The sequence below is a fragment of the Homo sapiens genome, chromosome 16 (assembly GCF_000001405.40).
Source record: "Homo sapiens chromosome 16, GRCh38.p14 Primary Assembly".
Classification (NCBI taxonomy): domain Eukaryota; kingdom Metazoa; phylum Chordata; class Mammalia; order Primates; family Hominidae; genus Homo; species Homo sapiens.
This window is the reverse complement of record NC_000016.10, coordinates 14,067,879-14,087,551: the sequence shown is the minus strand read 5'-3', so window position 1 is coordinate 14,087,551 and position 19,673 is coordinate 14,067,879. Positions and strand designations below refer to the sequence as shown.

At 41.1% G+C, this 19,673-nt stretch overlaps 1 protein-coding gene across 29 annotated transcripts in view, besides 2 other annotated features; it reads right to left on the bottom strand.

Moving 5' to 3' along the window:
- The window catches only part of MRTFB (myocardin related transcription factor B), a 272,006-nt gene that overhangs the window by 179,228 nt on the left and 73,105 nt on the right, over nucleotides 1-19,673 (bottom strand). For 6 of the 29 annotated variants that reach the window (XM_006720909.5, XM_011522568.3, XM_047434400.1 and 3 more), the window contains exons 1-2: nucleotides 16,146-16,233; nucleotides 8,198-8,262 (exon numbers count right to left, since the gene is read on the bottom strand). The gene's annotated coding sequence lies outside the window, so the exon portion shown is untranslated. Of the gene's footprint in view, nucleotides 1-8,197; nucleotides 8,263-12,050; nucleotides 12,253-13,970; nucleotides 14,046-16,145; nucleotides 16,240-16,458; nucleotides 16,491-19,673 lie in introns of those variants that run through there. The other 23 variants (XM_005255452.4, XM_006720914.3, XM_047434398.1 and 20 more) reach the window with 8 other exon arrangements.
- Nucleotides 15,769-15,848: a silencer, noted in NCBI's record as "silent region_7227". NCBI's record gives its function as "represses an Ori minimal core promoter by ATAC-STARR-seq in GM12878 lymphoblastoid cells {active_cell/tissue: GM12878}" and the evidence as "EXISTENCE:reporter gene assay evidence [ECO:0000049][PMID:35858748]".
- Nucleotides 15,989-16,458: a silencer, noted in NCBI's record as "silent region_7226". NCBI's record gives its function as "represses an Ori minimal core promoter by ATAC-STARR-seq in GM12878 lymphoblastoid cells {active_cell/tissue: GM12878}" and the evidence as "EXISTENCE:reporter gene assay evidence [ECO:0000049][PMID:35858748]".

Sequence of the window (19,673 nt, the reverse complement as noted above, 5' to 3'; positions counted from 1 at the left end):
AAATTCTAATATTTGCCACTGCCTAACTATGATAAGGGAGGAACTGATGGTTTTCAGCCATATTCCCACATTGGACATCTATTTAAAGAGAGTAGCCTAGACTCTGCAGCAATACAGTCAGACTCCCTCTCCTCAACTCAAGATAAATTTCCAGCATGCCGCAACACTAAACAAAGTGCCCAGAGTTAGGAAGGAAGGAAATTTCTCAAGGGGGATAGGACATTCAGAGGTTCAGTACATATCCTTAACCTAGAGAGTTTCACTGACTATTGAGCTCATCATGGAACTTATGGCCCAAAGCTACTGTTCTCTCCTCCCCTTTCCAAACTCTACTCTTAAGACTTTGAGATGAGAATACTCTTGGGAGAGACCAATTCAGCTGCAGATACTACAGAAGTAAGCCCCGAGTGTTGGCTTTGCTAGGGATCTATTCTCTGTACTGCATACAAGTACTTCAATTTTTTTTTCCTAGGGTTAGAGTTTAATACAATTCCATCTGAATATTCTACTGCTACAAATTCTGTATATGAAGACAAAATTTTTCTCCTCTGCCCAACTTTCCAATCAAACGACTACTTCCCCTGCCAGTCTAAACTTTAAGCTTTGTGCCTAAAATAGGAAGAAACTGTTGCAGATGCACAAAATCCAAGTCATTAAAGATGCTGAAAAATTCTTAAAACTTTCTGTTTAAGTACAATGTAAAAATTATTACAAATGCAGCTAAGAGGATAAATAAATAATAAAGCCTTAATTTTAATTAAGACTTCTGTTTAACTACTGCTAGTAATTCCTTGCTTTCCAGGAGTATTTTTAGAATCAGGGCTTTAAAGCATGCAATTAAATAAATTAAGTCATCAGTAAAATGAAAACTACCGTATAAGCAAATTCCTGCATTGCCACATAAAAGAGATTGAAGAAACCAGAAATTTGGTTATTTTAGAAAACAAATACAAGATTATACCATCAGCCACAAAAAGATATGAGAGTTTTAAAGTCTAAAAAAACTTCATTAATTTAGACTCTACTATTGAAGACTCAATTATTTCAAGTCTGCCTACATTTAATTTTGGATTATTTATTAAGAAAGGGGATGCTAAGCAAACTAAAGTGCAAATAAAAATTGCTAGGGGATTATTTAATCAATTTAAGACGTTATACATGCAAATAACTGCTGCTCAAATACTGATTAAAACTAGCTCATGAACTCTTTGGAATCCCATATTCCAACAGAAACAAAGTATATGGAAAGAGAGGCAAAAACACTACTTGAATCTATTAATTATTCTATCTTCTTTGTTTAGTTTGGCTGTGAAAAATTGGTTAGGAGTCAGAAAGGCTTAAAAGACAGGATACTGGACAAAGATTTATTATACATTCTTCTCAAAGGCTGGCAATCAATTTCTCTGCTTCTATTTTTAATGAAATGCGGAGCCACACTTAAAATATAGCTCAATTTATCTCCATTATAATTAAAAATATATTTTGGGACATCCATTTTAGCTTTGTCTTCAAATAACATAACTATGAAAAACTTTCCCATGTCTATACTATGAAACATAAATATGATTATTTAACAAGATCTAGTTTCCTACCTAGTTTAGATACTTACTTTTCCCTTGACAACAACAAAAACACACAAACAAAAAAGCAGAGTTGGAAAATAAATGGGATACAGGCCAATTCAACATTTCAAACAAAATGTCACACAATGTTATGGTAGCAAGTATCACTATAATTGTCTATGTTTAGATTTAGGTACGTATAAAAATCACAGATGCTAGTTTTCTTATCCAAATTAAAATTTAAGGCCCTTCTCATTTCCAACCTAATTCTAACAATGACAATATTTACCAACCATTCATTCCTTCAAACACAATGTGGGTGTTTGCCATGTGCATGCCAGGTATTATATTAGGTGCTGGATGTAAACCAGTGAATAAAATACCAGTTGTACTACTTGGTCCCTGGTCTTGGTGGTATATGGTCAACAATGTTAACTTGGAGTGAAAAGAAAAGCATCAATATTAAAGTATTAAAGGCATTCTATATTATTAAATGCTGTATTTTCCTTTTCGCTTTTTTTTTTTTTTTTTTGAGATGGAATTTCACTCTTATTGCCCAGGCTGGAGTGCAGTGGTGCGATCTCGGCTCACTGCAACCTCCACCTCCCGGATTCAAGTGATTCTCCTGCCTCAGCCTCCCAAGTAGCTGGGATTACAGGCGCCCGCCACCACACCTGGCTAATTTTTTGTATTTTTAGTAGAGACAGGGTTCCACCATGTTGGCCAGGCTGGTCTCAAACTCCCGACTTCTGGTGATCCACTCATCTCAGCCACCCAAAGTGCTGGGATTACAGGCGTGGGCCACCACACCTGGCCAGAAGATGTATTTTCTATCTGAAGAAAAAAGGTGACTTTTAATTGGCTTTTTTTTCTTTAAGAGATGAGATCTTGCTATATTGTCAAGGCTGGTCTCCAACTCCAGGCTCAAATAATCATCTCACCTCACTCTCCTGAGTAGCTGGGATTATAACCATGCCTTGCTAATTTTTTCTTATTTTAATTTTAAATATTTTTTGTAGAGACAGGGTCTCACTATATTGCCTACGCTGGCTCTCTGATTTTCTTGTTTGAAATAGCTCCTGATAGTTAATTGGCTTTTTATTAAGTTAAAGAACAAACCATAGGTCAATGACAAAGTTGGTATATGCTTCATATGAAACCTTCCTCAAGTAAATCTTATTTGATTAAAATAAAATCTAAGGCAAATATAAAATTAAAGATCACACTCATATCAGAAACTGTTAAAATCCTTTAGACAGAAGAGATTCAACATCAGTAAACATAGGTTTACATATGAATGCACAGTCACATAATCCACATAACTCAATAATATCATCACCCAAGTTTGTAAGTCATATTCTATATGCTATTCCACAATTGATATCTACGTTTGAGGCATGTTAAGAAATTGGTCTCTAAAGCTTCTTTATTTATCTTTTTAATTTTTTTCAAGACAGAGTCTCACTCTGTCACCCCGGCTGGAGTGCAGTGGCATGATCTTGGCTCACTGAGACCTCCACGTCCTAGCCTCAAGTGATCCTCCTGCCTCAGCCTCCTGAACACCTGGGACTACAGGTGTGAGCCACCATGCCCAGCTAATTTTGCATGTTTTGCAGAGATGGGATTTCACTATGTTATTGTGCAGGCCAGTCTTGAACTCCTGAGCTCAAGCAGTTTACCTGCCTCAGCCTCCCAAAGTGCTGGGATCACAGTTGTGAGATACCGTGCCTAGTCTTAAAGCTTCTTGAAACTGCACTATAAGTGAATAAAAAACAAAGGGAGAGTTCTCTATGGAGGAAAACTTTCAGTATTTGAAATAGTAACAGTCAGTTGACCTATAGTTTAAAAATATTTATAATGAGTTAACGAAGGCAATAGACTGAAAAACAAAGAACTCAACATACTTCAACACTCTCATCACATTTAAAGTCCAAGAGTATTTCATCTATGCATGAGAACCACAGGTATCTTCTCAATAAGAAAACTCTTCACGTTAGTAAGAATATCAAATTGGAGGTCTTTGAAAACCTAAAAGGTATATTCCAATTAGAAACCTTGTTATCTCAAAAAAATACTATTTTTTGTCTCCTACTGGATTGCCAAAGATTAAAAAGATTAACAGGTTACATACAAAAGAAGGTGGTACAAGATGGCGGAACAAGACTCTCCAGTACTCGTCCCAGGGCAGAAACATCAATTCGAACAACTATCCATTCCTAAAAACACCTTCACAAGAGCTAAGAAAAACAGACGACAGATTACGGTACCTGGTTATAGCACAAAAATTTTAAAAGACACGCTGAAGGTGGTAGAAAGGATAGTTTTACATTACCCGCGTCACCCACTCCCCAACCCTAGGCAGCACAGCGTGGAGAGAGATACCATCAGATGGGGGAAACAGAGGGAAGTAAGCATAGGACTTTGCCTTGAACCCTAACACCAGGCCCAACACAGTAAAACCCAGTACCCAGAAGACCTCCATGGCCCCTGACTCTAGGCCAGTACCCAGGGACTGTGCCTTCAGACCTGTCCTGGAGCCAGGTGGAAGCCTGTATCCCCTATGAGGCAGACTCCATTTCCAGTCCACATCACTGCCAGCCAACTACAGCAGGCTTGGGCTTCTCATACCCTCAGTGGCTTCAGGAGTCAGGCATCCAATTAGGAAAGGAAGAAGTAAAATTGTTCCTGTTTGCAGATGGCATGACCTTATATATAGACAACCCTAAAGATTCCACCAAAAAAAACTGTTGGAACCAATAAATGAATTCAATAAAGTTGCAGGATATAAAATCAAAATAGAAAAATCAGTAATACTTCTATATACTAACAACGAACTATCTGAAAAAAAAATCAAGAAAACAATCCTATTTACAACAGTTACCAAAAAAATAAAATACTTAGAAATAAATTGAACCAAGGAGGTAAAAGATTTCTACACTGAAAACTATAAAACATCAGTGAAAGAAATTGAAGACACAAATAAATGGAAAGATATCCCATGCTCACGGATCAAAAGAATGCTTTTAAAATGACCATACTACCCAAAGTGTACTACTTATTAAATGCAATCCTTATCAAAATACCAATAACATTCTTCACAGAAATAGAAAAAAAATCCTGAAGTTTGTATGGAACTACCAAAGGATATGAACAGCCAAAGCAATCTTGTCATTTTATTTACTTTATTTTATTTATATATTATTATTTTATTAAGACAGTCTTGTTCCTTTGCCCAGGCTGGAGTGCTGTGGTACGATCACACAGCTCACTGCAACCTCGAACTCCTGGCTCAAGCAATCCTTCCACCTTAGCCTCCTGAGTAACTGGAACTACAGGTACAAATGACCACACCTGGCTAATTTTTATTTTTTGCAGAAACAGGGTCTCACTTTGTCACCCAGCTGGTCTCGAACTTCTGGTTTTCAAACTATCCTCCCACCTTGGCCTCCCAAAGTGCTGGGATTTGAGCCACGGCACCCAGACACAATCTTGAATAAAATAAAAAAGTTGGAGATATCACACTACCTGGTTTCAAATTGTACTATGAAGTTATAGTAACCAAACAGCATGGTACTAGCTTAAAATACAGACACATAGACGAATGGAATAGAATAAAGAACCCAGAAATAAATCTATGCACTTACAGTCAACTGATTTTTGACAAAGGTGCCAAGAATAAACAATGGGGAAAGGACAGTCTCTTCTAAATGGTGTTGGCAAAACTGGATACCCACATGCAGGAGAATGAAATCAGACCTTTATCTCACGCCATATACAAAAATCAACTCAAAATGTATTAAAGACTTAAACGTAAGATGTGAAAACATTAAGCTCCTAGGAGAAAACATAGAGGAAAAGTTCCATGACATTGGTCTGGACAATGATTTTTAGATATGAACCCCAAAACACAGGCAATAAAAGCACAAACTGACAAATGGGATTATGCCAAATTAATAAGCTTCTGTATAGCAAAGAAAGCAATCCACAGTGAAGAAACTTCCTAAAGAATGGGAGAAAATATCTGCAAACTATACATCTGGTAAGGGGTTAACATCCAAAATATGTAAGAAACTCAACTCAATAGCAGGAAAAAAATCCAATTAAAAAATGGACAAAGGTGGTGGCTCACACCTATAATCCCAGCACTTTGGGAAGCCGAGGCGGGTGGACTGCTTGAGCCCAGAGTCTGAGACCAGCCTGGGCAACATGGCGAGACACTGTCTACACAAAAAATACAAAAAATTTGGCAGAGTGTGGTGGCATGTGCCTGTGGTCCCAGCTACTAGGGAGGCTGAAGTGGGAGGATCACTTGAGCCTAGAAGGTCAAGGCTGCAGTGAGCCGTGATTGCACCACTGCACTCTAGCCTGGTAGACATTTCTCAAAAGAAGCATACAAATGGCCGGGTGCAGTGGCTCATGCCTGAATCCCAGCACTTTGGGAGGCCGAGGCGGGTGGATCATCGGAGGTCAGGAGTTCAAGACGAGCCTGGCCAACACGGTGAAACCCCGTCTCTACTAAAAATACAAAAATTAGCCGGGCATGATGGCGGATGCCTGTAATCCCAGCTACTTGCGAGGCTGAGGCAGGAGAATCGCTTGAATCCGGGAGGCGGAGGTTGCAGTGAGCCAAGATCACAGCATTGCATTCCAGCCTGCATAACAAAAGTGAAACTCTGTCTCAAAAAAAAAAAAAAAAAAGGCAGCATACGAATAGCCAGCAAATACATAAAACAGTGTTACACAGCACTAATAAATGCAAGTTAAAACCACAGTGAGATATCACCTCACTCCTGTTGGAATGGCTACTATCAAAAAGATAAAAGGTAACAAATGCTGGCAAAAATGTAGAGACAAAGAAACCCTTGAACACCATTGGGAGGAATGTAAATTATTGCCATTATGGAAAACAGTGTGGGGGTTTCTGAAATAAATTAAAAATGAAACTACCATATGATCCAGCAATCCCACTACTGGGTATTTATGCAAAGGAAATGAAATCAGTAAAGAGATAATCTGCACTCTCACATTTATTGCAGCACTATTCACAATAGCCAAGATACAGAAGCAACCTAAGTGTCCATCAACAGATGAATGGATAACGAAAATGTGGTATATATACACAACGGAGTACTATTCAACTATAAAAACGGAAATCCTGTCATTTGTGACAACATGGATGAACCTGGAGAACATCACCTCTTTAAGTGAAATAAGCCTGACACAGAAAGACAAATACTACATGTTCTTACTCATATAAGGAATCTGAAGAAGTTGATCTCATACAAGAAGAGAGTAGAATGATGGTTACCAGAGGCGTTAGAAGGTCGGGGGCAGGTGGGGGTGGTGGTGTGGAAATGTTAGTCAAAGAATACAAAATTCCAGTTAGATATAGAAGGAATAATTCAAAGAGATCTATTGTACAGCATGGTGACTATTGTTAATTATGATATACTGTATTCTTCCAAAAATAGAGTAAATACAAAGAGAGTAAATGTTCAATGTTCTCACCACAAAAATGGTAACTATGTGAGGTAACGCATAATTAGCTAGATTGAAACATTCCACAATATACACATACTTCAAAACATGTGGTACACAATACATACATACAATTTTATTTGTCTATTTAAAATAAATAAATAAATTTGGAAAAAAGTTACATATACATTAACATTAACAAAATTGTGTGGGCAAGGATATGGAAAGCAGGACTCTTGTGGATTCTGAGGGGGGTTATAAACTGGTAGTCTCTTTAGAGGACAGGTAAGCCATGTCTCAACATTTTAAATGTGTATAATCTCTGACCCAGCAGTTACACATCTAAGAAGAGAAATGAACAAGTATACAATGATATAAGCAGAAGGCTGATCAATACATCAACAAGGGAAAACTAGAACAATCTAAAAGGTCATCAAAGGCATAAAGTATGGTGCCTCTAAAAGATGGAACATTAGGCAGCCAGTAAAATGATCATGTAGGATTACGCGTATCTTTCCAATTCCCGCAGAGATGTACAAAACATATTTTTCCATTAAAAAAGACTACTATATACAGGCAAACCAATTTATTTAAAATTTTGTATATAAATTCTTCTATATCCATAGATAGATTTCTAAAAGTATGTTCACCAAAATATTAATAGCAGTCATTTCTTGGTGGTAGAAGTTGGATGCTAAGTTCTATCATTATGTTGTTTTATACGGATAGAAATTTTTTTCATTATTATAGTAAAAAAAAACCCAAAATTTTAAGTGTTCGTATCTCACCAAAAGTAGCTTAAAATTCTTTCAACTCCCTATTTTAAGAAAAAAGTATTCACTGAATGTTGCAAGTATATATAACCACCAAACAGCTATGGGTTTCTACTTGCTAGATTTCCTTCTCAGTACCATGCTTTAAAACCATCAGAAAACAGGAAAATAAAGATTAGATTCGAAGAGGTTGAGAACGTCAAATGAACTTACTTGAACAGTCCACATTCCTGGCATCTACCTTAAGAACTCTAGGTTCTATGAACTTAACCACTCCTAAAACAATCTCCCTGTTAGACCTCAAGAAAGCAGGCTGTAAGAGGAGGTAAAAGAAAGAAAGAAATTACAGTTTCTTTGTTAAAAAAAAATTATAAAAAAACTTACCTCGGTAAGAATATTTAATTATTTTCCTGTCTTACATTCTCTTTCTTAGCACCTTTATTGTGAACCTGGAAAAAAAAAGGCAGAAATTACTTTTTATTGAGCACCTACTACATGCCAGACAAGGTTGTGTCTCTTGGAGAATGTGAAGTCTAAGATAAACTGGAAATAACAAAATCGAAGTTATTAAAATGGAATGGTCAGGAAGGAAAGTAAAAATTTGAAAATGTAACTAAAACTTTTCCTAAATTGTTCGAGAACCTATACACGACTGTATTCAAAGAACTGTATTTAACAAACAAGCCTGGAGAACTGCAGCGGGCTAAGAGTTCGGGTGCTAGGCTCAGAGCATCTGCATTAGATCCCGGTTCTACCACTTTCTACCTGTGTGATCTGGGGTAAGTAACTTCTCTGTGTGCCTGTTTTCCCATATGTGTAACAACAGTACCCAATTCTTAGCACTGCTGAGGATTATATGAAATAATCCACATTGGGGACTCTAAAGTAGTTCCTGAAATATGTGTTCAATAAATACTATTTTATTATAATGTTATTATATAATAATAAATCTGCCTTTCACCATCTCCATCACCAGCATTATTTATGATGATAATAATTATTATTAATTGGCTGGGCACAGTGGCTTACACCAGTAATTCCCGGGCTTGGTGAGGCCAAGGTGGGCAAATCGCTTGAGCCCTGAAGTTTGAGACCAGACTGAGGCAACATGGTAATACCGTCTCTTTAAAAAAAAAAAAAAAAATTTGCCAGGAGTGGTGGTGCCCCTGTAGTCCCAGCTGCTCGGGAGGCTGAGGTAGGATGATTGATTGAGCCTAGGAGTTCAAGGCTGCAGTAAGCCATAACTGTGCCACTGCCCGTGTCATGTACTCCAGCCTGCATGAGAGAGACCCCGTCTCTAAAAAAGGGGGAGAGGGGTGGGCATAAGCTTTGTATTCCAGGGGCTTACAGTGTCCTCAGTGAAATAAGAGCTACCTAGACACATAATATAAAGCAAAAAAAAAGATCAAAGTCAATTATTCATTCATTTAACAAACATCTGAATGTCCAATCTTTGCCAGTATTTTGTTGGGTGCAGGGCATTATTTGGTGTGCAGGATGAACACAGTTTCTCTCCTTACAGAGTTTACAGTTCATCAAGGGTTAAGCTGCATGACAGACAAGCTACATGCAGAGACAGATACTGTTTTTGACTGGGTGGGGGACAGTAACAGATCTGAACTGGCAGAATTACGTAGCACTATATTCTGGGTGGGAGGAATGGGGTTCCAGGAAACACAGGGCCTCTAGGAAACATAAGCAGCACCATTGTTAGGGTACATCCAAGAGAGACTAAGGCAGCAAGGCTAGAAGCAGGAGGGGGCCTTGAACGCCAGGCTGAATTTGTTCTCTGGTTTTCAGGTACATTAATTGTCCTGCTGAAACTGAACAAGAGCTTAGTTTTAACTTGGATTCTAATGTCTTGTAACTTTTTCTTTATGGGTCCTTTCTTTTTTTCTTTTTTGAAAGTGAGATGGGTAACAGTGGGAAAAAAATGAGGGAATGGCAACCTCAGCCCATGTTGGCAACAAAGGTGGGAGTGGACCAAGGGCACTAAGCGATGAGTTTCACACGTTTTCTCTTTTAATCCCTCCAGCATTCTTACAGGCACTATTGCTCCTTTTACAGATTAGAAAACTGAGGCTCAGAGAAGTCAAATAGATTTTAAGTTCATAAACTTAACATGATCTTGATTCTTTAAAAAGTGTTTTCTGGAACTAGACAAAACGATTCTAAAGTTCACATGGAAAAATAAACTAGCAAGAATTGCCAAAAAAAAAAAAAGCAACAAGGGGAAACTAGTTTTAAAAGATATTAAAACATTTTATAAAACCAATGTAGTACTGCTATATGAATAGAAAGACTAATGTCATAGAATAGAAAGTGCAGAGATGTACCCCAATACATCCAGAAACTCACACCACCATCAACTGGATTCAGAGATGAAAACTGAAACAAATCGGTAAAGATAACTGGTGGCCACATGGAAAAAGGAAAAGTTGAATTATATATCACTCTGAACACCAGAATAAATCCTAAGTGGATCAGAGATTTAGGTGTTAAAATGAAACCATAAAAGCACTAAAAGAAAACACGGGCAGATTCCAGAAATCGTGGAGGCCTTTGACGTAAAATCCAGATACCATAAGAGATTAATGTTAAGTACATAAAATGTAAAGAAAGCCATATTTAAGCCTTCTTTATACCAAAATACATGAAAGTCATTTTTAAAAACAAGTGACAAGTTGAGGGAAACTGCAACCTAACAAAGGGCTAATCTCTCTAATTTATACACTTATAGAAATTAGTAAGAAAAAGCAATCCAAAAGAAAAATGTGCAAAGGGTATGAACAGATAGCTCACAGAAAAAGGAATACAAATAGCCTTTAGGCACATGAAAAGATGCTCACCCCGATTCATAATGAAAGCAATGCATATTAAAACTACATGGAGTTATCATTTTTCATCTACGAGACTGACACGAATCCAAAGGTTAACTGTTGGAGAGGTTACGGAGAAATAAGGAGTCTCATACATTACTTAGGCAAGTTCAAAATAAGTGCCACTCTGGAGGAAGAAAGTATTTACACCAATTATAAATGCATTGCCCACTGACCAGCAATCCCACCTCTAGGAATGTATCCCACAGATAATGCCTACAAATATACAAAATAATATGTGCACAAGGTTATTCAGCACAGCGTCATTTGTGAGTCTCAGACTGGAAACAACTCATATATTGATCACTGGAGGCTAAACAGCTAAACAATGTATATTTTACAGTTGTTTAGAAAAATGTTTTCTGGGCCAGGTGCAGTAGCTCATGCCTGTAATCCCAGCCCTTTGGGAGGCCGATGCAGGTGGATAACCTGAGGTCAGGAGTTTGAGACCAGCCTGGCTAACATGGAGAAACGCCATCTCTACTAAAAATACAAAAATTATCCGGGCCTGGTGGCACATGCACCTGTAGTCCCAAGCTACTTGGGAGGCTGAGGCAGGAGAATCGCTTGAACCTGAGAGATGGAGGTTACAGTGAGCTGAGATGGTGCCACTGCACTCCAGCCTGGGTGACAGAGTGAGATTCTGTCTCAAAAAAAAGAAAAGAAGTGTAGAAAAATGTTTCCTATATACTAATATGAAGGTATGTCAAGATAATATTAACTTTAAAAAAAAAGCAAGGAAAATATTCACATAGTATGTATATTTTATATAAAAAGAGTATATATAGTATATTAGTATTTGCTTGTATCTGCATCTATACAAAAAAAAGACATGTATAGGAAACAAATGAAAGGTTATTTATGGAGAGAATCAAGACAATTGGAATTTAGATTTCTCAAAATATGTCTTATGTCATTTTAATTTTTGAACCATATGAACATCTTATCTACATGAAAACAATTTGTAAATGTTAAAAGCACCTCGCAAAAAGAAGCAAAAGAGAACCACCTACAAACCAGAGTCTAAGTTTTCTCTGAAATTGGTGACAAGCAATTTTAGTGTGGCCATCACCATAAATTATAAGACAAAGTGCTTTTGTTTCCTCCAATCGAGCCAAAGTATATGATTATAATAATCTATTTTAAAAAGCCGGGGTGAGGAATTAGAAGAGAGAACAGAAAAAGGTGAGAAGAGAAGGAGCTCTACTCTAATGGTTCTCAAAGTATGGTCCTTGGACCAGCAGCATCAGCATCACCTGATAATTTGTTAACAATGTAAATTCTATGGGCCCAGCCCAGACCTACTGAATCAGAGAGAGACCCTGGAGGAGGAGGCTAGCAATCCTTTTAATACATACTCAAGTTTGACAGCCACAGATCTGGTCCCGTGATTTTTATATGTTCACGTGCATTGCCCAGGAAGGGATCTTTTAAAATGCAAATTCTGGTCCAGTTGGTCTGGAGTGGAGCTCAGAGTCTACATTTCAAACAAGCTCCAGGATGCTGCTGACGTGCTGATGGTGTGGGCACCACACTTTAAGACGCAAAGCACAAGTCCACCTGAGGAAGAAGGTACGCAAAGGGTCTTCACGTGATTGAGTTTGCTGTGAAACCTGCACTCAATATTAGACAGAAAAAGTCCTTACACAGGTCTCCAGCTAAGGTATACCACGGAACTAGCTTCCCATATAAACTGTGTACTTCACACAGAGTAAGTATGTTTTCAAATATATTTCTTAAACAACAATAACAACTATAATTCACTGAGATCCAATTTAAGGACGTCCCATTTGAGAAAACTTTCATTTATAAGTGGATCTTCCAGAATGGAAACAAACAAAAAACACAAAAAACCATATTCATACAACTGTCTGGTTATATTATCTGATTAACTTTACCTCAAACACACTAACCACACCATCTGCTCTTCGTGAAAATTCACCAAGCAGTTTGTTTCCTTTTAAACATTTTCAAAAAAATGGTTCTTATATTTACAAACATTGATTCTCCATTTGTTTTACATAAAGGGAAAATCTCTACAGGAATCTTCTTAGTAAAGAATTCTAGTTTAAATGGAAGGGTCCAGAAATATTGTGTATCTTCATTTTGCAAGTCACCCTTTGAATCAAGTTTTTGGTGTTAATCATTAATCATTGTTTCATATTCCCTATTCATGTAGTAAAATTATGTAATAATTTTTACATATTCCCTATTTCATTGACTCTAAGATGCCATCAATTTCAAGATATAATGTCCTACTAAGAAAGAAAAGTTGCCAACCACATGCTAATTTTAAGATGTCATTCTATCTCACATATGCATCTTAAAAATCAATGAAACACCTTAATTACAAATCAGAGATATGTGCATAGTATTCATTTTCTAGTTAACATTTGTGTCTCTCAAATGTAAAACTTCATAAAAGCATGAACTTTTGTCCATTCAACAATCTATCCCCTATGCCTAGAAAAATGGAACATTTTCAATCAACATCTTTTACATACAGGTGAATATTTTTTAAAGTTCTGATTTTAAAAACCAGTAATGACCTCTTTTACCCTGGAACAAGATACTGCTTGCTCAAATTAATATAAATTCATTACTCTCAATTTGGATAAATTTCCATCTCCAAAGTGTTCAATGTCTCTAACTCTAGATAATTTAAAGTATAGCCTTCTGTTTTGACAGCAGTCATTACCTACATGTCTGTTTCCATAGCACCTTTCAAACGTAACACGCAACTAATAATAAACACCTTACATCAAGAAGCAACTCGTCTATTCAACAAAAAAAAGCCAAATAAACTATTATTAAAAGAAGAGTTAAATGTATAATGTTACAATGTAGGTAACATTGTAACATATATAAATGTTATACGTAGGTAACATATAAATGGTCTGAGCTGAACTTTCTTAACTCGATTTGCATTTTCCCCTATGCAGCAAGACTAGCAAAGTTTGAAATGAAAAGACAACTGCTAACAAATCACACCATGAGGACTACTGGCATATGTGATTACAGGTAATTTTAAGTTTTACCTTTGAATACATCTGCATTTTCCAAATTCTCTAATATAGATATTAGTAAGCAGAAGAAGCTATTTAAAGGGTGATTACACTAGTTTAGATTATACTTAACTAAGACTTATTTCTACACATTATTGTTGTTGCTTCCCAACTCCATTCTAACCTCAATCTGCTACTTGATTCAAGTGTTTAGTTGTCAACATTTCCATTAAACACAGCCAATCTTTCAGACAGAGGGACACAGGTACTAACCTGACCTCCCATCTGAGATTCTAGAATAATCAATGAAAGCGCCACTAACCAAAAGCATGCTTTTTGTACGTCAGACACTTCTGAAAGAAAGAAAAAACAAAACAGGACAAAACTCTCAGCAAAAACTGTCTGTTAAATTTCCTTTTATAATTCCTATTATAATTGACTAGATAACACTGATGTTTGGAGTGGTTCTCCAAGGAGCTGGAACTGCCCCCAAGGAACATTTTTAGTTATCAAAGAGACTGGGGGACACCGCTGGCATTTAGGGTTTGGGGGGCCTGGATCTAAAAGACTTCACACAACACATAGGTGGGACAGATCTGTATAATGAAGATTCGCCTGGTACGAGAGTCTTTCAAATGAACGGGCAGATTAAGCCCACTATAAACTGGCATTACTTTACAATATTTAAAAGTTTTTATAAGAAATTGCAGGGAAACTCCAGTAATGTAGGAGAAAGTAGCAAGGGAAGCTTAAATAGAGTAAGGGAAAACTGTCTAAACATTAGCGATCGTTTCCTCACACCACACACCGTTAACATACAATTGTAGTATCAGAATACTGAGCATATACAAACAAGTGAGATACTGATATTGAACCAAAAATTTTCAACCTTGTTAATATTTTATTAATTATTACCAATGGTAATTGTTAGGAAGCCAGTATTGTCCCTTCGAGTGTGTGACACAAAAAATTCTACAATATAGTTTAAAAATATGGATCCATGGAGGGCTTGTGCTAATATTTACGTATTTATTGAGACAGTCTGTTATTTGTCTTGCCATGTTATCCCTAGTTCAATCTAGGTTGTTTCTCTCTTTAATTCGCAAGAAACAGGTTATGCCAACCTAGGTGTTTTTCCCAACCTCCGTCTGTATCTCTGCTCTTTCCCTGAAGTAGCGGCCTCACTCTGTAGCCCAGGCTGGAGGGCAGTGGTGCAATCACAGCTCACTGCAGCCTTTAACTCCTGGGCTCAAGAGATCCCCTCACCTCAGCCTCCCAAGCAGCTGAGACTACAGGTGTGCGCCACCACACCACGCTAATTTTTTCTTTTTTTGTACAGGTGGGATCTCGCTATATTGCCCAGGCTTGCTCTTGTTTGAAATAGCTCCTCCTAATTTTTTTTAACCAATACAAATGTACTCATTAGAAGCTGGCACAAGCACCCCAGTATATACTGTCTTCCAGCACAAGAGTATGTCCTAGATGTGAATGGTACAGCAACATCTGTCATATACTGTTCTCTATTTCGCCCTTACGCTTCAATCAAACCATCATACTGCTTTTCAAGGATGTGTGTAGGGAGGTCACATTGTTTATGAATTTCATTTCAGGGTAGTAAAGAGGGCTTTATACATGTTTGCTGCAAAGGGGAAGAAGGGACCTTGATTCTGACGAGGTTGAGAACCACTGTTCCCAAGAGTGGAATCGCGTGCTGAAACAAAAATCGAACTTTTAGAGAAGAGTTTCCTTTGCCTAAGGCAAGCCCTGGGCTCCAATATTCCACTTCATTGGGCCTGACACCCCACTACCAGCACACGCCCGCTGCTCTCAGCCCACCTCTGCTTCCAAGCAGGGCCAAACAATGGTTCTTGACCACTTGGGGATCGGGGACCCTTTTAGGAACGAGACAAAAGCCCTGGAAAAACTCTCTCCCAAGAAACCCATATACCAAGCTGCATCCAACTTCAGGGCGCTCCCAGACACCCCCTCTGAAGCCTGGTCGGGACCCCAGGAGAAAAGGGCTGAGGGGAGTGGGAGGTGGGAAGAGGAAGGGGGCGCAGGGGTCCCGGTCCCCTCCCACCGCCTCCTCGCAGTGTGGCTCTGGCCCGGGCGCTCCACCTCTCTGTGCAGCCCCGGCGTGCAAGCGCGCAACTTAAGTGCCCGGCACACAGCAGAGGCTCCATAAACGCCGCTGCCACTGTCAGCAGGGCCAACTCTGCAGTCGAGATGGACACTGAGGCGGCCCCGGGGTCGCGCCCGGGCGCGAGGACCGGTTGAAGGAGGCACCGGCCCGCGGCCCCGGCCGCCCCGCCCCGCGCGAGTCCCGGGGACGGTGCGGACCAAACGGCGCCGCAGCTGCTGCGGGGACGAACAGGGATGGCTGCCTGGGACGCGGGATGTTCACCAGGCCCGCTCCCCCACCCAGCCCTCGGTCTCGGCCGCTCTCACCCGGCCTCAGCCCCCAACGGCCGCCACCGCCCGCCGCTCACCTCCCCGGCCGCCGCCGCCGCCGCTCCCGCCGCCGCCGCGCGATCTCGCGAGACTTCGCTCCCCTCGGCACTCCCCCTCCTCCCCGCGGCGCGCGCGGACCCCAGGCTAGAAGCGGCTCGGCGCGCTCCCCGGACGCTGCCCACCCCGCCTCAAGGGTCAAGCCCGGCCTCTCTCGCTGCTCGCCCCCGACTCCGTCCCTGCGTGCACTCCGCCCACTCCCGTGACTGGGAAGGGTTAAAGCCCAGGTGCGAGGCGGCCGCCTCCTTCTCACCTGGCCGGCCGGGTGCGCGTGCGCATGCGCATGTCCGGGGCTCGGCCCTGAGCCTCTGCAAAGGCTTGGACGGTGGCGACAAAGGTGACCGCTGCCACCCGTCCTGAGTGCTCGCTGCGCGCCGAGCACTTAACAGCCCCCTTCGGTCCTCACACTGCCCTCCAAAGTGGGTATTACCAGCCTCCCCATTCTAGAGAGAGGAAAAATGGAGGCCTGGCAAGGAAAGTACAGTAATGGCTCCATGTCACACAGCCAGGAATTGGCTGAGCCAGTGTTGGGATCTGGGGTTGTCTGATGCCCAGCCCAAAACCCATTTCTGCACCTCAGTGACAGCCCCCAGGCCCTGTCCCTCTTTCCGTTCAAGGCTCAAGGCGCTGCCTCTCAGCCGCAGTCTTCATTCTCTCCCAACATTCACCAAGGTGAGAGGAGGAGCTCCTGGGAAGTCATTTGCTACAATCTGTTTTCAATGGAGCTGGCGACAGTAAAGTGCTTCTCCCTCACTTTACAAACTTCCCAAGGCCTGTGAAGCCCCTGTGCCACTCCCTGTGCAGCTCTGAAGACTGTGTGACTATTTTTATGCGGTTCTGTCTCCTCCTTAGACTGGTGGCGTTTTGCTGGTAGAGAGCATGATGGAATGGCACACAGGACAGAGAATCAGAATGTACATGATGTTAGCACACAGAAAAGTGTGACTTCTTCCCAGGAGTAAGTCTTAATGAAATAATAATTGTTTGTAAAGAGGAAGGGCTAACATTTATTGCGGGCATATCAAGGTCATACCAATCTTCTTGCAATCCTGGAGGTGGAGAAAGTAGCCTGTTTCCATTGTGAAATAGGATTTGAACCTGGGTCTGAGTCCGGAGCCCAGCACTACCTTGTAGGTAGGTCCTGTTCTGCAAGCAAGCGAGCATGAGCTAGCTCATCTGGGCCGGCTGCTGTAAGATCAGGAGCCCTGGAGGTTCTAGGTAGCCTTCCACCTGCAACAGCGTCTGCATGGGCTTACCCAGCCCACCTGATAATCACATCAATGTCAGCAAGTGCTGGCCTGCCCATGCTCCAAACCTGTCCACTCTCCCCGGAACCAATTGCTGTGTACAGGCCAGAGCATGTGGGTGCCCTTGCATGTTTCAACCTCACTCAACTCACCAGATGGAGGAAGTGGGTGAAGAAGGAAAATCACACCTGCTGGGCAGCTACAAAGTGCTGAGCCCTGCTCCAGGTGCTGTCTATTTATTAATTTATTTAGCCCTCCCAACAACCCTGTATTAGGGTTCTCCAGAGAAACACAGCTACTAGGTTCTAGATAGATGTAGGCTGGGCAAGGTTGCTCATTCCTGTAATCCCAGCACCTTAGGAGGTCCAGTCAGGAGGATCACTTGAGCCTAGGAGTTTTAGACCAGCCTGGGTAACACAGTGAGACCCCGTCTCTACAAAAAATAAAAAGAATTGGGCATGGTGGCACATGCCTGGAGTTCCAGTTACTCTGGAGGCTGATGTGAGAGGATCTCTTGAGCCCAGGAGTCGAGGCTGCAGTGAGCTCTGACTGTGCCACTGCCCTCCAGTCTGGACAACAGAGTGAGACCCTGTCTCTAAAAAAGAAAAAACTATATAGATTCATAAGAGGGGATGTATGATGGCAGCTGAGAAGTCCTACGATGTGCCATCTCCAAACTGGAAAGCCAGGGAAACTGGTGACATAGCTCAGTCGCAGTTGTGGCCCGAGAACCAGGGAATCTGATGGTGTAACTCTCAGTTCGAGGCTACAGGCCTGAGAACTTGGGAGCCACTGGAGCGAGTCCTAGAGTCCAAAGCTGGAGAACCTGGGCTGGGCGCAGTGGCTCATGCCTGTAATCCCAGCACTTTGGGAGGCTGACGCAGGTGGATCACCTGAGGTCAGGAGTTCAAGACCAGCCTGGCCAACATGGTGAAACCCCGTTCTCTACTACAAATACAAAAATTAGCCAGGTGTGGTGATGGGTGCCTGTAATCCCAGCTACTGGGGAGGCTGAGGCAGGAGAATCGCTTGAACCTGGGAAGAGGAGGTTGCACTGAGCTGAGATTGCATTATTGAACTCCAGCCTGGGCATCAAGTGAGACTGTCTCAAAAAAAAAAAAAAAAAAAAAAAAAAAGCTGGAGAATCTGGAGTTCTGGTGTCGAGGGACAGGAGAAGATAGTGTCCTGGCTCCGGAAGAGAAAGAGAGAATTTGTCTTTCTTCTACTGTTCTATCCAGGCCCTCAACTGATGGCGATGAAGGCAGATCTTCCTTACTCAGTCACTGATTCAAACACCAATCTCTTCTGGCAACACCCACACAGACACACCCAGAAGTAATGCTCTACCAGCCATCTGGGTATCCTTTAATCCAGCCAAACGGATGCCTAAAATCAACCGTCACAAATCCCCTGTGGAAGTTATGGTTGTCCCCATTTTACAGATGAGAAAACCAGGAACATAAGAGGTGAGAGGACATGCCCAACAACACACACAGCAACACGCAACGACACACACAACACGCAACGACACACAACAACACGCAACAACACACAGTTGGCAAGTGGTTGGTTCCACCCCAGATCAGCCTGTTTCCAAATGCACAAACTTTGCCTTTCGTGACCAACAAGGCTATTCCCTACCTCAAAAGCCTTTATCTTTATGAAACAGAAAATCCCCAAATCCCCTGAGGTCAGGACTCCAGTGTAAGATGCTGTTATGTTCTCCTCCGGGTGGCCAGTGCCTCAGTGTTCTCATCTAACATAAGAACATGAGTAGGGAAAATTAACCAACTTAATATATGTGAAGCATACGGAAAAGTGCCTTACAAGATTAAGCACTCAGTAAATCAAAGCTGTTATTACCATGGGTGGATTCTTTGTGATATTTTATCCTTTCCTCATTGCCCAGTAGAAATAGCAATTCAAGTAGGAGGATGGGCTCATATACAGAAATAAAATTAGTTTTTAGGCCAGCTGTGGTGGCTCATGCCTGTAATCCCAGCAGTTTGGGAGGCCGAGGTGAGAGGATCACCTGGGGACAGAAGTTCGACACCAGCCTGGCCAACATGTTGAATCCCCATCTCTACTAAAAATACAAAAATTACCCAGGCATGGTGGCGGGCGGCTGTAGTCTCAGCTACTTGGGATGCTGAGGCACAAGAATCTCTTGAACCCAGGAGGTGGAGGTTGCAGTGAGCTGAGATTACACCACTGCACTCCA